Source organism: Homo sapiens, chromosome 17, assembly GCF_000001405.40.
Source record: "Homo sapiens chromosome 17, GRCh38.p14 Primary Assembly".
NCBI lineage: Eukaryota > Metazoa > Chordata > Mammalia > Primates > Hominidae > Homo > Homo sapiens.
The window spans coordinates 30,774,329-30,794,207 of record NC_000017.11 but is presented as its reverse complement, the minus strand read 5'-3'; the positions used below and the strand labels follow the sequence as shown (position 1 = coordinate 30,794,207).

At 41.2% G+C, this 19,879-nt stretch overlaps 1 protein-coding gene and 1 pseudogene across 5 annotated transcripts in view, besides 2 other annotated features; one reads left to right on the top strand and one right to left on the bottom strand.

Moving 5' to 3' along the window:
- Window positions 1–11,524, top strand: part of CRLF3 (cytokine receptor like factor 3) — a 42,009-nt gene extending 30,485 nt beyond the window's left edge. For both annotated transcript variants that reach the window (NR_073118.2, NM_015986.4), the window contains 4 exons: window positions 536–758; window positions 1,636–1,768; window positions 8,177–8,289; window positions 9,765–11,524. Coding sequence is in view for 1 of the 2 variants with exons in the window: in NM_015986.4 (NP_057070.3) it covers window positions 536–758; window positions 1,636–1,768; window positions 8,177–8,289; window positions 9,765–10,021 (726 nt within the window). In the remaining variant the exon portion in view is untranslated. The remainder of the gene's footprint in view (window positions 1–535; window positions 759–1,635; window positions 1,769–8,176; window positions 8,290–9,764) is intronic.
- SUZ12P1 (SUZ12 pseudogene 1) overlaps window positions 1,378–19,879 on the bottom strand; it is an 83,223-nt pseudogene continuing 64,721 nt past the window's right edge. Inside the window, exons 7-9 of one of the 3 annotated variants that reach the window (NR_144394.1) lie at window positions 9,316–9,425; window positions 6,547–6,769; window positions 1,378–3,570 (exon numbers count right to left, since the gene is read on the bottom strand). The product of NR_144394.1 is annotated as an SUZ12 pseudogene 1, transcript variant 3 (transcript). Of the gene's footprint in view, window positions 3,571–6,546; window positions 6,770–9,315; window positions 9,426–17,778; window positions 17,912–19,879 lie in introns of those variants that run through there. The other 2 variants (NR_144395.1, NR_144393.1) reach the window with 2 other exon arrangements.
- Window positions 19,870–19,879: part of a biological region, named in NCBI's record as "SUZ12P1 PRS4 recombination region", that runs on past the window's edge. NCBI's record gives its function as "recombination_partner: LOC108783653".
- Window positions 19,870–19,879: part of a non allelic homologous recombination region, noted in NCBI's record as "sub-region BR6, recombines with sub-region BR6' within the SUZ12 PRS4 recombination region", that runs on past the window's edge. NCBI's record gives the evidence for it as "EXISTENCE:nucleotide sequencing assay evidence [ECO:0000219][PMID:22837079]".

The window sequence follows — 19,879 nt, the reverse complement described above, 5'->3', positions numbered from 1 at the left end:
CTTCAAAGGAGGCAGACTTTTTTATATCAGACTGGGAAATACAGAACACATGGTTCAATAAAGAAAAGAAGGGAGCCCAGGCGCAGTGTCTCACGCCTATAGTCCTAGCACTTTGAGAGGCTGAGACGAGAAGATTGCTTGAGCTCAGGAGTTAAAGATCTGAGATATGGTGAAGCCCAGTCTCTACAAAAAATACAAAAAATTAGCCGGACATGGTGGTGTGCACCTGAAATCCCAGCTACTTGTGGGGTGGAAGGAAGAGGATGGCTTGAACCCGGGGTGTGGAGGCTGCAATAAGCCGAGATCACGCCACTGCACTACAGCCTGGGTGACAAAGTGAGACCCTTTCTCAAAAAAAAAAGAAGGGAGATAATGATGTGATGGCATATTTTCTATGGCCTTCCCAAGAATACCCCATATTCAGCATGTGGGCCTGTCTGCTTGGTCCAAAATGGCTCCGTTCAAAATTTTTAAGCAGTGATGCTGAGAGAAGTCATTTTCTGTTTTTTACCTAACATAAAGCTTTTCTCCCTAGGTGGATGATGACTTTACAGCCCAAGATTACAGGCTCCAGTTTCGTAAATGTACTTCAAATCATTTTGAGGATGTATATGTAGGTTCTGAAACTGAATTCATAGTATTGCACATAGACCCCAACGTTGATTACCAGTTCAGAGTCTGCGCCCGAGGAGATGGCCGACAGGAGTGGAGTCCTTGGAGTGTCCCCCAGATAGGTCATTCCACATTGGTGCCTCATGGTATGCTGCTAACCTTTTCTCTCCTGAAGCCTAACTATATATTAGAATACCTGTATTCTGTGCTAAGGGCAGCACACTGACAACCAGCTATTCTAAGCATAGATCCTGAATTGATAAGAACAACATGCACCATGTCTTTTACTCAGATTACCTCATGTGATTTTTGTTTTCATCAGTTCTTCAGAGTCCAAAAAAAATGCTGGACAAGATTTTTAGCCTCATTGAAAACCAAAGATTGAAAATATTATGTAGGGCACTGATATTCCTTTTTATTCTTTTTTTTATATTTGAATGTTATTTAGTTAGTTTTTTTGAGACAAGGTCTCACTCTGTCGCCCAGGCTGGTGTGTGGTGGTGCAATCATGCAGCCTGACCTCTAGATCCTTCTGCCTCAGTCTCCCAAGTAGCTGGGACCACCTGCATGCACACCACACCTGGCTAATTTTTTATTTTTTTCTAGAGACTGGGTCTTGCTATGTTGCCCAGGCTGGTCTCAAATTCCTGGGCTCAAGCAATCCTCTTGCCTCGGCCTCCCAAAGTGCTGGGATTACAGGCGTGAGCCACCGCGCCTGGCCTATTAATTAGATTTTTATCAGGTTGGAATAAGTTCAAGCAATTATGCTTGTACAATGATTTTATTAGATAAGAGATAACACTTGTGTGATTTATTATGTCAAAATTATGCAGGAATATACTAAAATCTTTTGTAATTTGTGGGACTGATCATGATACCCTGTTAATGGAATCTTTTATTTTATTGAACTTGACCATGGCCCCTAAGAGTAGTCTCCCATTTCCATGTTTTATTTAACGTGTCTGTATTGAAGATATCCCTCAAGAGATTCTAACAGTTTTCAATATCTTTGCTTTGAAAAAGAGTGGACAGCTGGTTTTGAGGGGTACAGTCTGAGCAGTCGAAGAAATATAGCACTTCGGAACGATTCTGAATCATCGGGTGTTCTCTACTCCAGAGCTCCGACTTATTTCTGTGGGCAGACATTAACATTCAGGCAAGTAGATATTAAAACATCTCACCTGCCTCAGGAAGCAGAGTGAAGTGCATAGAGCATACATAAGCTTTGAATTCAAAACATCCTGAGTTTATTCCGTCATTTATAGGCAGTGTTACTGTGGGAAGGCTTCTTTATTTCCTGTAGCTGTAGTTTTCTCATCTGTATTCACAGGGTTATTACGTAGATTAACTGGGAAATGTATATAAAATGCTTGTTATTTAATATGTTTATATCTCTTTTCCTCTTGGTAAGTAGAGGTAAGTAGAGTATCTCTCAAAAGTCAATCTTAGGCTGGGCATAGTGGTTCACACCTGTAACCCCAGCACTTTGGTAGGCCGAGGCAGGTGGATCACCTGAGGTCGGGAGTTCGAGACCAACCTGAGCAACATGGAGAAACCCCATCTCTACTAAAAATACAAAATCAGCCGGGCATGGTGGCACATATGCCTGCAATCCCAGCTACTTGGGAGGCTGAGGCAGGAGAATTGCTTGAACCCAAGAGGCAGAGGTTGCAGTGAGCTGAGATCATGCCATTGCACTCCAGCCTGGGCAACAAGAGCGAAACTGTGTCTCAAACACACACACAAAATTAAAAAGTAAATCTTAAAAATTTAGAGGCCTGGCCAGGCACGGTGGCTCACACTTGTAATCCCAGCACTTTGGGAGGCTGAGGCGGGCGGATCACGAGGTCAGGAGATTGAGAACATCCTGGCTAACATGGTGAAACCCCATCTCTACTATAAATAAAAAAATTAGCCGGACATGGTGGTGGGTGTCTGTGGTCCCAGCTACTCGGGAGGCTGAGGCAGGAGAATGGCGTGAACCCGGGAGGCGGAGCTTGCAGTGAGCCGAGATCACGCCACTGCACTCCAGCCTGGGCGACACAGCAAGACTCCGTTTCAAAAAAAAAAAAAATTTTAGAGGCCAAGAGACTGGACGCAGTGGCTCACACTTGTAATCCCAGCACTTTGGGAGGCCGAGGCGGTTGGATCACTTGTGGTCAGGAGTTCGAGACCAGCCTGGTCAACCTGGTAAAACCCCATCTTTACTAAAAATACAAATATTAGGACAGGCGCAATGGCTCCCGCCTGTAATCCCAGCACTTCGGGAGGCTGAGGTGGGTGGATCACAAGGTTAGGAGATCAAGACACCACCCTGGCCAACATGGTGAAACCCCATCTTTACTAAAAATACAAAAATTAGCTGGATGTGGTAGTGCACACCTGTAATCCCAGCAACTAGGGAGAGTGAGGCAGGAGAATCACTTGAACCCGGGAGGCAAATGTTGCAGTGAGCCATTGCACTTCAGCCTGGCAACAGGGCAAGACCCGTCTCAAAAAGAAAAAAAAAATTAGCAGGGTGTGGTGGCACACACCTATAATCCCAGCCACTCAGGAGGCTGAGGCATGAGAATTGCTTGAGCCTGGGAGGCAGAGGTTACAGTGAGCTGAGATCGCGCCACTGTACTCCAGCCTGGGTGACTGAGCGAGACTCCGTCTCAAAAAAAAGAAAAAAAGCATAGGCCGGGCACTGTGGCTCATGCATATTATCCCAGCACTTTGGGAGGCCGAGGTGGGCAGATCACGAGGTCAGGAGATCGAGACCATCCTGGCCAACATAGTGAAACCTCGTCTCTACTAAAAATACTAAAAATTAGCTGGGTGTGGTGAGGTGCGCCTGTAGTCCCAGCTACTCGGGAGGCTGAAGCAGGAGAATCACTGGAAGCCTGGAGGCGGAGGTTGCAGTGAGCAGAGATCGTGCCACTGCACTCCAGCCTGGGAGACAGTGCAAGATTCCGTCTGGAAAAAAAAAAAAAAAAAAAAAAAAAAAGCAAAAAAATTTACTGGCCAAGAATTTGTTTTGTCCTTTGTGAATCATTAACAGCAAGTCTTTGTAAGAGACAACACTGTAAACATATTATGTATATGCTACTCTCTAAAGTAAAACTGAAAGCAAGCCTCCCCTACCACTAATTAATGTTGTTTCTCTACCCATTTCTTTCTGTAATGGAAAAGTTTCTTTTTTCTTGTTTTCATGTTATCTGAGATGTATTCTTTATAGTCATGTTTCTGAATAGCTCTTCGTAGAAACTAAAGACCAGTTTTGACTTAGAGAAGTAAAGTTTGCCTGATTTTCACCATACTCACCTTAGTGTAACAAGCTCTCCTCTAAGTTTTAAGTCTTGAGATGGGATTTTATTGTGAATGCTTGACCCAAGTTCCTTTTGTTCTCAGGCCCTTATTATTTAAGGCATGGAGAATATCTGAATATTTTATCTAAGCCAGTGTTGCTGTATTCCTCTCCAGCTAAGTAATTTGAATTGTCAGCGGTTGTCAGATTATACTAGTTTGTTTTGTCTAATTTTTGACACCTCACCCCTTAATGAAGAATGACTCAGTAAACAGAAAAATACCAACAAAGAGAGAGAGAGGAAAAAAAAAAACAACTAATACCTAAAATCTATTTAACTATTCCCCAGGTAATCATGAGTTTTCTGTACTTACATACCCCTTCTCTGCTTATGTCCCTTGTTTACAGAAGCACTTCGGTTAGTGACTCTCCTGAGAACAAGGTATTTCTGTGCAATGACAGAGCTTCCTAACTTGATAAATTCAGGCCAGATATCTCAGACTGCAATAATGATGATAATAATAATAATTGCAGTTAATATTTAAACAGTATTTACTATGTGCCATGTACTGTCTTAAGTATTTTACTTGTATTAACTCATTTGATTTTCATGGTAACCCAGTGAGATAGATGGGTTATTTATTTTAGGGATGAGGAAACTGAGGCATAGAGAAGTTATTTACCCAGTGTCACACAGCTAGTAAATGCCAAAACTAGGGTTTAAATCCAGGCAGTTCGACTCCAGACTGGTCTGTATTGCTTCTTTTTCATGGGAGAGTTAACATGATTCTAGTTAGTGTTGAAGTCTACAGTTTCTCTATTACTGTGTCCTTAGCTCTTTAACTTTTACCTCTTATGACCTTTCACCACTTGATCTGATGCTCTCCTGCTTTTTAAATTCTTCCTCCTTGGACACATGGTAATGTCTGATAGATTGCATAGTTAGGTTTATTTCTTAGACCATTCAGTAAATATTTATTAAGACATTGGAAATTATACAAATTGATTTAAATTCACCTCTGCTGACCGTGATGTGAAAGACACATTAGGTCTCAATAAACTGTTGAGTCTCTCTTGCATCTCCTAAAGATGCATCACCAGGCCCCACTTGGCAGGGTGATTAACTGAAATTCAGTTAAACTCAATATAATGGTAGCCAGCCTTTTGCATTTTTGTCATTTTTTTCTTTGTGGAATGAAATGTTTTCTCCCCTTGTTTAAAGGAATTTCAGGCATCAGCAGTGAAGCCAGAGATGTGAATGCAAGGGGGACTCCATGCATAAGGGCATAAGGGAGGAGCAAGTGCGCCTACTTGAATCAAGAGAAACAATATTTAGTTTTTTGAGGGTACTTAAGGGCCTAGTAGTTAGAAGGGAGACTATACTCTTGAAGGCACTACGTTAGCCGGGCACGGTGGCTCACGCCTGTAATCCCAGCACTTTGGGAGGCTGAGGTGGGCAGATCACGAGGTCAGGAGTTCGAGACCAGCCTGGCCAATATGGTGAAACCCCATCTCTACTATAAATACAAAAATTAGCCGGGCGTGGTGGTGTGTGCCTGTAATCCCAGCTACTCAGGAGGCTGAGGCAGGAGAATCGCTTGAACCCAGGAGGCGGAGGTTGCAGTGAGCCGAGATCACGCCACTGTACTCTAGCCGGGGCAACAGAGTGAGATGCTGTCTCAAAAAAAAAAAAAAAAAAAAAAAAAAGAAGGCACTACTTTGTTATTTATCCCAGTCAGTCCCTGCTGAAGCTTCTGGAAGGCTTGGAGCTGCTGAAGCCAGAGAAACCTGTGATACTGGCTGGATTTTAACAGTCTCTAGACCCACTCTCATTAGATGCCCAGGTCTGCTAGCAACCCCCTCCTTCCAGGTCTCCCTCACTTCCTATGTGAACATTCCTGCTCTTTCCTTGCTTCTAAGATTTTCTGATTTTTTTTAAGGTTTCCTTCTTTCTTTTCTTTTCTTTTCTTTTTTTTTTTTTGAGACAAAGTCTCATTCTGTTGCCCAGGCTGGAATGCAATGGCACAATCGGCTCACTGCAACCTCCACCTCTCAGGTTCAAGCGACCCTCTCACCTCAGCCTCCTGAGTAGCTGGGACTACAGGCGCCTGCTACCACGCCCGGCTAATTTATTGTATTTTTAGTAGAGACGGGGTTTCACCGTGTTAGCCAGGATGGTCTCAATCTCCTGACTTTGTGATCCGCCCACCTCGGCCTCCCAAAGTGCTGGGATTACAGGCGTGAGCCACTGCACCCGGCCTATTTTCTTTCTCATTCCCCTCCCCAGCTCTCCCCCTCTTTTTGTTTAAGACAAGGTCTCGCTCTGTCGCCCAGGTTGAAGTGCAGTGGCATGATCTCAGCTCACTGCAATCGCCATCTCACAGGTTCAAGTGACCCTCTCACCTCAGCCTCCTGAGTAGCTAGGATTACAGGAGCCACTACCACACCCAGCTAATTTTTGTATTTTTTGTAGATACGGGGTTTCACCATGTTGCCTAGGGTGGTCTTGGAACTCCTGACCTCAGGTGATCCACCCTCCTTGGCCTCCCAAAGTGCTGGGATTACAGGTGTGAGCCACTATGCCCGGCCCCTCCTCCCCATACTTCTTTAGACTGCTCAGATATGAAATAACTTCAGAAACCTACCCAAATATTATGATCCTGCATGTTTGCTATTTCACAATCAATGACATTTTGAGGCCACATTGACTATAAATAATCACATCTGTCTTTGGAAAAGCCACATTTTGTTTCACACTAATTTTTTTTTTTGTCCTTGCAAAGTTGGCTTTCTGGATGGAGAGAATGATGTGTCTGGCAATAGGGATCTGTACATTTCCTATTTCAAGAGCACACAAAGTACTGACATCTGAAATGAAAACACAAAAGGAAAAGCTTAAACTTGCCACATAGGAAGTTCTTCATGCTTGAATAGTGTCTTCATAACCATAATGGGATTTTTTAGGATTATAATAGTTCTTTTTAAATGCTTTATTTACTTAACAAATAGTAATCAAATCATTGCAAATTCTTATATGGAAGATTTAGGCGCTGGCAGCAATAGTTACATAAATTATAATGTCAACTATGACAAACCTTCTATGTGTCTAGAGCTAGAATATAAAATAGAAGTGTGCCATCATGGCTACAAATGGTTAAGAATATAGATTCTAGGCCGGGCACGGTGGCTCACTCCGTAATCCCAGCACTTTGGGAGGCCAAGGAGGGTGGATCACCTGAGGTCAGGAGTTCCAAGACCAGCCTGAGCAACATGGTGAAACCGTGTCTCTACTACAAATACAAAATTAGGCCAGGTGTGGTGGCTCACGCCTCTAATCCCAGCACTTTGGGAAGCCGAGGCAGGCGGATCACCTGAGGTCAGGAGTTCGAGACCAGCCTGACCAACATGGTGAAACCCCGTCTCTACTAAAAATACAAAACTAGCCGGGCATGGTGGTGCATCCCTGTAATCCCAGCTACTCAGGAGGCTGAGGCAGGAGAATCGCTTGAACCAGGGAGGCAGAGGTTGCAGTGAGCTGAGATCGCGCCATTGCACTCCAGCCTGGGCAACAAGGATGAAACTCCATTTCAAAAAAATAGATAGATAGATTGATTGATTCTAGAGTCAGAATGCCTGTGTTTGAGTCCTGGTTCCACCAGTCATCAGCCAGGTAGTCGGGATCAGGTTATTTAGCTATTTTTAATCTTTTTTTCTTTTCGTGCCTCATTTTCCTCACTTATAAAATGGGTATGTTAAAAATAGCACCTACCGGCTGGACGCAGTGGCTCACGCCTGTAATCCCAGCACTTTGGGAGGCCGAGGTGGGTGGATCACAAGGTCAGGAGTTCAAGACCAGCTTGGCCAAGATGGTGAAACCCCATCTCTATTAAAAATAGAAAACTTAGCCGGGTATGGTGGCGGGCACCTGTAATCCTAGCTACTTGGGACGCTGAAGCAGAGAACTGCTTGAACCCGGGAGGCGGAGGTTGCAGTGAGCCAAGGTCGCACCACCGCACTTCAGCCTGGGTGACAGAGCGAGACTCCGTCTCAACAAAAAAGAAAAAGCACCTACCTCATAGATTGTTGTAAGAATGATAGATAGATATAAAATAATTAGAACAGTGCCTGGAGTATAGCAAGAACTCAATCATGGTTGCTGTACTATTTAGAAAAAAACAATTGTGGTGAGATTGCTCTTTTTAAGCTAGTGGCTGTTAAGTATCATTCATGTTATATTTTTAAAAGTATGAAATGACCTTTCTACTTCATTTACAGAGTTGAAACTGTGGGACAGCCAGACAGAAGAGATAGCATAGGAGTGTGTGCAGAAAAACAGGATGGATATGACTCTCTGCAGCGGGATCAAGCTGTGTGCATTAGTACAAATGGTAAGAGATAAATAACTGTCATTCTCTTGGAAATATATTAATTATTTTAGTAATATGTGAATCTGTTCCAGTTCCATACATTTATAGTAGGAGATGAGAAAATTTAGGTATTTTTCTTTTTCTTTTTTTTTTTTTTTATTATGAAGTCTCACTCCATCACTCAGGCTGGAGTACAGTGGCATGATCGTAGCCCGCTGCAGCCTGAAATTCTTGGGCCCAAGCCATCCTCCCACTTCAGCCTCCTGAGTAGCCGGGACTACAGGTGCATGCCACTGTGACTGGCTAATTTTTTTTATTTTTACTTTTTTGTAAAGATAAGTTGTTGCCCAGGTGAGTCTTGACTCCTGGTTTCCAGCAATCCTCCCACCTTGGTGGCCTCCCAAAGTGCTGGGATTACAGGCGTGAGCCACCGTGGCTGGCTGAAAGTTTTGGTCTTAATGACATAATTTATGTGACTACCATGTACCAGGCATTGTTCTAAATTCTACAAATAATAAATCATTCAGTCTACATCCCTAGTGCTCTTTAAAAATCGCTAGCCAGAGGCCGGGCGCGGTGGATCACGCCTCTAATCCCAGCACTTTGGGAGGCCAAGGCGGGCAAATCACGAGGTCAGGAGTTCAAGACCAGCCCGGCCAACATAGTGAAACCCTGTCTCTACTAAAAATACAGAAAATTAGCCAGGTGTGGTGGCGGGTGCCTGTAATCCTAGCTACTTGGGAGGCTGAGGTAGGAAAATCGCTTGAACCCGGGAGGCGGAGGTTGCAGTGAGCCGAGATCATGCCAGGTAACAGTGTGAGACTCCGTCTCAAAAAAAAAAAAAAAAAAAAAAATTCACTAGCAAGACATGTTAATAATATTTTGTGGTGTTGGCTGGGCACGGTGGCTCACGCCTGTAATCCTAGCACTTTGGGAGGCCAAGGTGGGTGGATCACAAGGTCAAGAGATCGAGACCATCCTGGCCAACATGGTGAAACCCTGTCTCCACTACAAATACAAAAATTAGCTGGGCGTGGTGGTACATACCTGTAATCCGAGAGGCTCAGGCAGGAGAACTGCTTAAACCTGGGAGGTGGAGGTTGCAGTGAGTCCAGATCATGCCACTGCACTCCAGCCTGGGCAACAAGAGTGAAACTCTGTCTCCAAAAAAAAAAAAAAAATTGTGTTGGTGAGTCAAGAATTCGGTAGAACAAGATTCTTTCTTGTTTATTCCATAAGAAATAGTCTTGCTATTTCACAGGAGGTAATTTTGTAACACTGTCAAGTTTCTTTTGATGACACTGATATGGGAAACTCATAGTCTCTGCTGGAAGAGTACAACCCTGGACAGAACTCTAAAATCTATGTCCAGTTGGCATTCCAGATTTTTTAAAATCTGAATTAGGAAATGAGCTGTGTTACCAGTAATCTAGAAACTATTTCAGATCTCTTAGTTATTGCTCACATGTAAATGACTCTTTACCTTAACATTTTAGGTGCAGTTTTTGTCAATGGAAAAGAAATGACAAATCAGTTACCCGCAGTTACTTCTGGGTCCACTGTCACGTTTGACATTGAAGCCGTGACTCTAGGAACCACCAGTAATAATGAAGGTGGACACTTCAAGCTTCGAGTAACTATAAGTTCAAATAATAGAGAAGTGGTTTTTGACTGGTTACTTGATCAGTCTTGTGGTTCTCTTTACTTTGGATGCTCATTTTTCTATCCTGGATGGAAAGTGTTAGTGTTTTAGATGTTTGGGTGCTTGGCTTTGGTTTTCAGGGTCTAACGTAGCTGTCCTCAGCCCAGCGTAGTTGTAATTGCTTTAAAAAAAAAGTTGAATTCATCTCTAACTTAGGCCATTGGAAAGTGTTTACTGGATTCATTTTGTAATATTTTAGCAAAAAGAGACTTCAATGTTGTGGACAAAATCATACAATTCAGTCAATTTTATTTTTAGCATACTGTTAAATATCACATCACAATAAAAATCAAATTGGCATTAAAAGTATAGAAGATATAGGAAGTTCTATACCCTTCCACTGTACTTCTCAAAGTTGGTTATTAGACCAGGAAAACTTAATGTAATATTATTTTTAAAATCATCTTAAAGGATCCAAGTCCATGTAACTCTTTAGAACAAGAGGAATAGGTCAGATAGAAGAAGCTGTGTAATGTATTAATACATCCGTTCATGTGCTGTCCACATGAATGTGTTGACTGTGCTCTCCATGTTCAGGTATTTGTAAGCAGTGTTGACTTTTATCCCCTCTTCAGTAATCTTTAAGTCCCCAAAACATTATAACTTTTTCTTTTTTTGTTGAGACGGAGTCTCACTCTTGTCACTCAGGCTGGAGTGCAGTGGTGTGATCTCAGTTCACTGCAACCTCTGCCTCCCACGTTCAAGCGATCCTCCTGCCTCAGGCTCCTGAGTAGCTGGGATTACAGGCGTCGGCCACCACACCTGGCTAATTTTTGTATTTTTAGTAGAGACAGGGTTTCACCATGTTGGCCAGGCTGGTCTTGAACTCCTGACCTCAGGTGTTCCACCCACCTCAGCCTTCCAAAGTGCTAGGATTACAGGTGTGAGCCACTGCAGTGGACCAATTTTTGTATTTTTTTAAATGCTTGACCAAGTGTCTAAAATAGGCAAGTAGTACCTTTTGTTCTTTCATTGCAATTTGATACAGTATAGGCTACAGTATTTTTACAGGGTAAAACTAGTTATGGCAGTAGTATGCACAGCAGTGTTAGCCATTTCATATGTATGTAATATGCACGTGTGTATCCAATCTGCCTGTGACATGCATTTTACTCTTTGCAGAGAATGAGCTGCAGTCCAGTTTAATGTCAGTTTAATAAGTGGTCTCTTTTTAGCAGAGCAAAAAAATATAGCGTAAATACTTATTTTTTTTAAAAACTTACTTAAATTTGTGTGTAAAATATTTATTTGAAGGACTTTAATATGTAAAAATAATTGTCTTCTATGCCACCCTACAGATTTTATTTTAATGTGAATTATTTTTTTCATTTCATTTTTACCAGTATAGTAAAAAAGTAGAAAAGCAAGTATGATATTTTTGTAAGATAATTTATTTGGGGATTCATGTTCCCTGTTAGACAATCATGACCTTTTCTACTTGTCTTTTTATATATAAGTAGTAGATTTCCACTTGTTTAGGGATTAAGAAGATGTTCTAGAATGTAGATACCTTGTCCAGCCATAGGAATCAAAATAAAAAACTAAAAAAGTTCAGTGTGTGTACTTTTTTCTTCTGTGAGATTTGGTGAATCCAGTTTTAACCTACTTTTCATTTGAAGGGAAAACAGGCTTCTTGTGGCTCCAGGCATTTTAGTAAGATATCACTGTGACTTGTGAAAGGGTATGTGTACCTTCTTGTACTTTCTTTTAAAAACTTTTTTAAAAATATTTTTTGTAGAGAATGAGGGTCTTGCTGTGTTGTCCAGACTGGTCTCAAACTCCTGGCCTCAAGCAGTCCTCCCCAGCCTTGGCCTTCCAAAGTGCTGGGATTATAGGCATGAGTGACCACACCCAGCTGGTTACTTGTACTTTCCTATATTCTGTGTCTGATACTGAGCATCTTGCCTGACACAATGTGTGCAGAATGAATGGTGGATCGAATGAGTCGTTTTCTCCAGATATCTTCATCTCATTCCTTTAATTCATCAAATATTTGTTGAATGTATTTATTTCTTAGCCTCTCTAGGGAAATGACATCTTAATTTATACCTATAGAATCTGCCTGTTCACAGGAGTGCCTTAAACCTAATTTGAGACAGGAGTGGTAATATTTGGAACTCTGAAACTAATTTTTTTTGAGACAGAATCTCACTTTGTTACCCAGGCTGGAGTGCAGTGGTGCAATCTTGGCTCACTGCAACCTCTGTCTCCTGGGTTAAACGGATTTCCCTGCCTCAGTCTCCCAAGTAGCTGGGATTACAGGTGTGCACCACCACACCTGGCTAATTTTTATACTTTTAGTGGAGATGGGGTTTTGCCATGTTGGCCAGGCTGATCTTGAACTCCTGGCCTCAAGTGATCCTCCCACCTTGGCCTCCCAAAGTGCTGGGATTACAGCCGTGAGCCACTGTGTCTGTCCTTGAAACTAATTTAAATACTGACTTTTTTTCTTGAACTGTGAAGATTTTTTTTAAAAAAATGAACTCATTAGCTGGGCGTGATGGCTCACGCCTGTAATCCCAGCACTTTGGGAAGCCAAGGCAGGTGGATCACCTGAGATCAGGAGTTTTGAGACCAGCCTGGCCAACATGGTGAAACCCCGTCTCAACTAAAAATGCAAAAATTAGCTGGGCATGGTGGTAGATGCCTATAATCCCAGCTACACAGGAAGCTGAGGCAGGAGAATCACTTGAACCCTCCGGGAGGTAGAGGTTACAGTGAGCTGAGATCACATGATTACAGTCCAGCCTGGGCAACAAAAGCAAAACTTTGTCTCAAAAAAAAAAAAAAAAAAAAAAAAAAAAATCATTCTGTTCAAGTAAGTAAGGGAACCTAGTACTCCAAACCTATGTGCTAGGAGGGAAGAGTTTGTGTGATGATATGATCACAAGAATTGATTTTTTGGCTGGGCATGGTGGCTTATGCCTAGCCATTTTTTATTCACTTAAAAAAAAAATTTGGCTGGGTGTGGTGGCTCACACCTGTAATCCCAGCACTTTGGGAGGCCTAGGCTGGTGGATCACCTGAAGTCGGGAGTTCGAGACCAGGCTGACCAATATGGTGAAACCCTGTCTCTACTAAAATTACAAAAATTAGCTGGATGTGGTGGCGCACGCTGGTAGTCCCAGCCACATGGGAGGCTGAGGCAGGAGAATTGCTTGAACTCGGGGGGTGGAGGCTGCAGTCAGCCAAGATCTTGGCACTGCACTCCAGCCAGGACAACAGAGCAAGACTCTGTCTCAAAAAAAAAAAAAAAAAAAAAAAAAATTTAGCCAGGTGTTGTGGTGCCCACCAGTAGTTCCAAAGCTACTCAGGAGACTGAGGTGGGAGAATTGCTTGAGCCTGGGAATTCGAGGTTGCAGTGAGCCTAGGCAACATTGGTAGACCCCATCTCTTAATAAATAAACACAAACAAAACAAAGAAATAGAGCAACTAGATAGATAACAAAAGCAAAATCCCCTGGATAATATCTACAGTAAGACTAGGTGACCACTTACCCCCTCAAATCCCAAAATACAAGCTAGTGAAGACGAACTACAAACAGATACAAGACCTGCATGATCTCAGTGTCTGTGCAGGATGAAGAAGGCGCAAAGCCTGACAGATGTGATGACAGGCGAAACCCCATATCATCGACTGGAACTCCTGGAAAGCACCATGGAACAACTGAAAAGTAGCAACTGAAACTCTAGAAATTTGTTTCCCTCCAATACCAGATGAATGCAAGTGGGCCATGCGTGGTAAATGTGTTCAGGGGTGCTTAAGATCACTTTCACTTTCAATTATTTGCCAGGACTCACAGAACTCAGAAAAGCTCAGAACACTCATGGTTACTATTTAGTAAAGCAAAAAGACACAAATTAAAATTAGCAAGTTTGGCCGGGACTGCTGGCTCACACCTGTAATCCCAGTACTTTGGGAGGCCAAGGTGGGAGGATTGCTTGAAGCCAGGAGTTGAAGACCAACCTGGGCAACATGATGAGACCCCCATCTCTACCAAAATAAATTTTTTTTAATTAGCCAGGCATAGTCAGGCATTAGCCAGCTACTCAGGAGGCTAAGGTGGGAGGATCACTTGAGTTCAGGAGCTTGAGGCTACAGCGAGCTGGAGTACAGTGGCAAATGTAGTTCGCTGTAAAAATAAATGGCCAGGCACAGTGGCTCACGCATGTAATCCCAGCACTTTGGGAGGCCGAGGCCGGCAGATTACGAGGTCAGGAGATGGAGACCATCCTGGCTAACACGGTGAAACCCCGTCTCTACTAAAAATACAAAAAAATTAGCCGGGCGTGGTGGCAGGCGCCTGTAATCCCAGCTACTCAGGAGGCTGAGGCAGGAGAATTGCTTGAACTTGAAAGGCAGAGGTTGCAGTGAGCCGAAATTGCACCACTGCACTCCAGCCTGGCGACAGAGCAAGACTCCATCTCAAAAAACTATTTAGACTAGAATGTAGTAAAAGTGTGTTCAGAGACTAGTTTGGACACAGCACTCCACAGGAATTTATCTTATAAAATACTTGATACAGGTTCAAGTATAATCACTATTAACATTTTTGACAAGATTTTAAAAAATCAAATAACCCACTTATCTATTAGACCAGCACTGGTTTAGTCAATTAAGGAACCCAAAAAAACAAAACAAAACAAAAAAACTCAGAACGTTTAAAAAGAAGTAAATCTATATGCTCTGACTTAAAAGGATGCCCATTTTACAGGGTTAAGAGCTTCCAGATAGGCCGGGCACAGTAGCTCACACCTGTAATCCCAGCACTTTGGGACTCCAAGGTGGGTGGAAAACCTGAGGTCAGGAGTTTGAGACCAGCCAAGCCAACATGGTGAAACCCCCAGGCGTGGTGGCGCATGCCAGTAATCTCAACTATTCAGGAGGCTGAGGCAAGAGAATTGCTTGAACCCAGGAGGCAGAGGTTGCAGTGAACCGAGACCGTGCCATTGCACTCCACCTCTGGGTGACAGAGCGAGACTCCATCTCAACAGAAAAAAACAAAAAAAAGGCCAGGCCGGGCACGGCGGCTTATGCCTGTAATCCCAGTACTTTGGGAGGCCGAGGTGGGCGGATCACAAGGTCAGGAGTTCGAGACCAGCCTGGCCAACATGGTGAAACTCCATCTCTACTAAAAATACGAAAATCAGCTGGGCATGGTGGTGCGCGCCTGTGATGCCAGCTACTCAGGAGGCTGAGGCTGGAGAATCGCTTGAACCTGGGAGGCGGAGGTTGCAGTGAGCCAAGATCGTGCCACTGTACTCCAGCCTGGGTGACAGAGTGAAACTCCATCTCAAAAACAAAACAAACAAACAAAAAAATCCAAAAACAACAACAAAACCAACAACAACAAAAACCCTTCATATATATAATCCTTATAGTCTCATGAATAAAAACATACTTTAAAACAAGAAATTTAAAATGAAAAAGATCATAAAGATAAATCCATACAGAAAACCCAAAGAGTATAGATAAAAATTATTTGAAATCTCATCACCTGGAGTTAACCACGATTATAAATTTTAGAAAGAGGGAAAATATATATATATATATATATACACACTTATGTAAAAATTTAATATGGAAATCTTGTCAAACTATCATCCTTTTTAATAGCTTTTTAGATTTAACGTGTTTCTAACGTTTCATTATTTAAAAAATGCTGAGAAAACCTGTTACCTACATCTTTTGTTAACAAGTTACATTGTGACAAAAATATAAAATTTGAATTGTTAAAGACTATATATACAATTTTAACTTTATATATATTGCCAGTCTGCCCTATAGTAAGACTGTATCAACCTTTTTTTTTTTTTTTGAGACAGAGTCTTGCTCTGTCTCCCCGGATAAAGTGAAGTGGCAAAATCTCAGCTCACTGAAACCTCTGCCTCCCAGGTTCAAGTAATACTGCTAAGCCTCCCAAGTACCCAAGTAGCTGGGACTACAAGCACCTGCCACCATGCCTGGCTAATTTTTGTGTTTTTGGTAGAGATGTGGTTTGACATGTTGGCCAGGCTGGTGTCAAACTCATAACCTCAGGTGATCCACCCGCCTTGGCCTCCCAAACTGCTGGGATTACAGGCATGAGCCACTGAGCCCGGCCCCCAACTGTTACATCAAAATATTATTTGAGAGTATATGTGTCCTCACGTCCCTAAAACACTAGAAACTGTCAAACTTTTAATCTTTGTCAAACTCTCAAAAGTAGTATCTCTGCATTTGCATGCCTTTGAGTACTAATAAGGTTGAGTACTGCTTTAAAAGTTTGCTGGCCATCTCTTTGTTTTTTTAAGAACTGCGTGATAGTCCTTCACACATATTTCTTATTAGACTGTGTATCTTTTTGTTTCATAATTCACAATATTATGTATTCATATTAGCATTTTGTGTTACAGATATTTCCCCCATTCCATAATTTGTTTCTAACTTTAGATATTTTGCAGTATAAAAATGACTAATTTTAACCCGACAATTTTTACTTTATGCTTTCTTACTTTTCAATCATCCTTAGAAGGGTCTTCCTCACTGCAATATATTAAATATATTAACATTCACCTATTTTTTTTTCCATGCTTATGAATGTTCATTTTTACATGTTTATGAGCCTTCCAGAATGTATTAGGCCTAAGATTATTTCCAGATGACTGGAGAAGAGTTGTCACAATTAATGAACAGTTTCTCTTTCTCACATAGCTATACCAACACCTTTATCATAAACTATTTCAGGACTATGCCTGAATAGATAAGCATATCTATTCCTATGGTTATACCATAGGGTTTAAGTTCTCTTAACTTTATGGTATGTACAACGGTATATTGTATATCATACTAAAACTGGTAAGTAAAAATTCTCAAAATATTTTTCTAAAATTTCCCTTAGTATTACTAAATACTTATCCTTTTAGATTAACTAGGAACTAATTTTAAGACTTAAAAAAATCCTTATGAGATTTTGCATCGGATGGTACACTGACCTAACATATTTAGAAATAAAAGACATCATTACAGTTTTGAATCTCCCTATTTAAGAAATGTATGGATTCCTCTTTATCTCTTAAGAGTTATTTTAAGTATGCTTAATCTAAATTCTGCAGATTTCTTGATAAATGTATTACTAGTCATCCCTTATTATCTGCCATTACAATGAATAGAATTTAAAATAGCCGTTAACATTTATTGAGCACTTATTGTATGCCAGGCACTGTACTAAATATTTTATTATTTCATCTAATCCATCAATTCTATGTCTCATGTTACAGGTGAAGAAACTGAGACATGGATAAATAACTTGCCAAATGCCACATAGCTAGGAGCAGAGATTTCAATCAGGCAGTCTGGCTCTCAAAGTATGATGCCTTCCGTGTGGCCGGGTGCAGTGGCTCATGCCTGTAATCCCAGCGCTTTGGGAGGTCAAGGTGGGCGGATCACAAGGTCAGGAGTTCCAGACTAGCCCGGCCAACATGGTCAAACCCCGTCTCTACTGAAAATAAAACAAATTAGCCAGGCGTGGTGGCACGCACCTGTAATCACAGCTGCTCGGGAGGCTGAGACAGGAGAATCGCTTGAACCCGGGAGGTGGAAGTTGCAGTGAGCTGAGAGCATGCCACTGCACTCCAGCCTGGGAAACAGAGCAAGACTCCCCCTCAAAAAAAAAAAAAAAAAAGGAATGATACCTTCCGTTAAATGCTCTGACTAGATCATTTACTTGTGTTTTTTAAAGTATAAAAAACAAAGGCCTCTACTTCCAACATGAATTAGCATTTGGGGAAGAAAACATCAATCAAAAATGGGAGTTCATAACTATAATGTGCTCAACCTTCTAAGTAGTCCATAGCTTCCCATCAAGAATAGTCTCCCATGTTGCTCTTTTCTTGCTTATTGGACATTCTTCCATTTCCTGCATGGCTACTTCATATTCCCCATCTAAAAGCTGTAAGCGCCTGTTAGACAAACACATATACTTTAAAGTAACCTGTGTTATTACTATAAGTACACAAATTCTACATCTTTAGATTTATACTAAAACCATTTATTAAATTTATAAACTAGCTTACATACTCAACAAGATTTTAAAAATACAGCTACACTGCAGTCCTGATGAAAGCAATTTTAATGATGTACACTAAAAACTGTATTACTAGGAATTCATTACTGTAGCTACTCAGATATAACTCTAAACATGTAAAGTATAATATGCCTGAGGTCTCAAAACCTGGTACGTTGTCAACATTAAATATAAAGCATAAGTACAGGCTTTATTTATTTATTTATTTGAGATGGAGTCTTGCTCTGTTGCAACCCAGGCTGGAGTGCAGTGGTGCAATCTCCACTCACCATAATCTCTGCTGCCCAGGTTCAAGCGATTCTCCTGCCTCAGCCTCCCGAGTAGCTGGGATTACAGGCGCGTGCCACCATGCCCGGCTAATTTTTGTATTTTTAGTAGAGACGGGTTTCAGCATCTTGGCCAGGCTGGTCTTAAACCCCTTCCCTCGTGATCCACCCACCTCAGCCTCCTAAAGTGCTGGGATTACAGGCATGAACCACCGCGCACAGCCCAGGCTTTATATTTTTAAAAATAGGATAACAGTGTTACAATGCTTGTCTTAGGGAAACACTAAGAATTCTGTTACCTTTAACTACTGTAATTGTTTGAACTAGAATCCTTTACTTGTATACTTGACCAGTAAACTGATTATTATAATGATGAATCTGGTAACTATGGAATTCTGGGGGCACCTGGCACATATAGGTGCTCAATAAATACTTCATGGAATACTAATTGAATCAAATAATTCAAATATATTCACACAATATAGTTTTAAGGTGTGTGTACATATGTGTCTATGTATAACTTATTTTTCCATACTTTAAACACTAGTAACCACTACTAAACACCATTCTTCAACCATACTCAGTAATTAACTGTATATATCAAGCAACTGGCTTCTCTTCATCACTCTTGGAGAAATTCTATTAGGTAAAAACAGCTGACATTTATTGAGTGTTCACTATGTGCCAGGCACTATTATAAACATTTTACATGGTTCATTTAATCTTCCCAGCAATACTATGAACTATGTACTATTACTCCACTGCCAGAAGAGAAAACTGAGGCAAGAAAAGCTTAAATAACTTGCCTTAAAATCAAACCATAAATAGCCAGATCTAGCAAATGAATCCAGGTGTCTGTCTCTAAAGTCTCTTAAAACCAAATGATTGACACTTAAGAATTTTTGTCTTTTCTCTATGCTGTACTACTTAAATTTAGTCAACTTCAATAGTACATCAGCAAAGCCATTCAACTATTTTAAAAACTAATTTATTTATTCAAATAGGTAATAAATTCATATATTTCTAAATCAAAAAGGAGCTTCCTTATGCTTTTACGTAGATACATACTATTCCATTTTGTGGGTGTACATTTGATACCTACAATCCAATGCACCCTCCTATCTGTAATGTATGTGGAGACCTTTCCCCCACAGCCTGATCAAGTGCTTTATCAAGTTTTTTGGTCTCTGTCAATCTGATAAGTGAAAAAACGCATCTCAGTGTACTTTTAATTCAGATGTTTTATCGTTTTAATTGTTTAAGAACCATATATATCTATTTTGGTAAACTTCTTATTGTTTCCTTTGCCCATTCTTCTATTGGGCAACTTTAAAATTAGTATGACCTGTTTACATTCAAGTATGAGACATCTACCTGAAAGACAAGTTGAAAATAATTTCTCCCCATCTTGTCATTTTTGACTTTGGTTATGGTGGCATTTTTGTTTTCTGAAGAAGTTTTTGATTTTTATTTTGTTCAACTTTGCATTCTTTTCCTATATGGCTTTTGAATACTGGTTATTATTTCAAGGAATTAACTGGATTTTTTTTTTTTTTGACAGTCGCTCTGTCACCCAG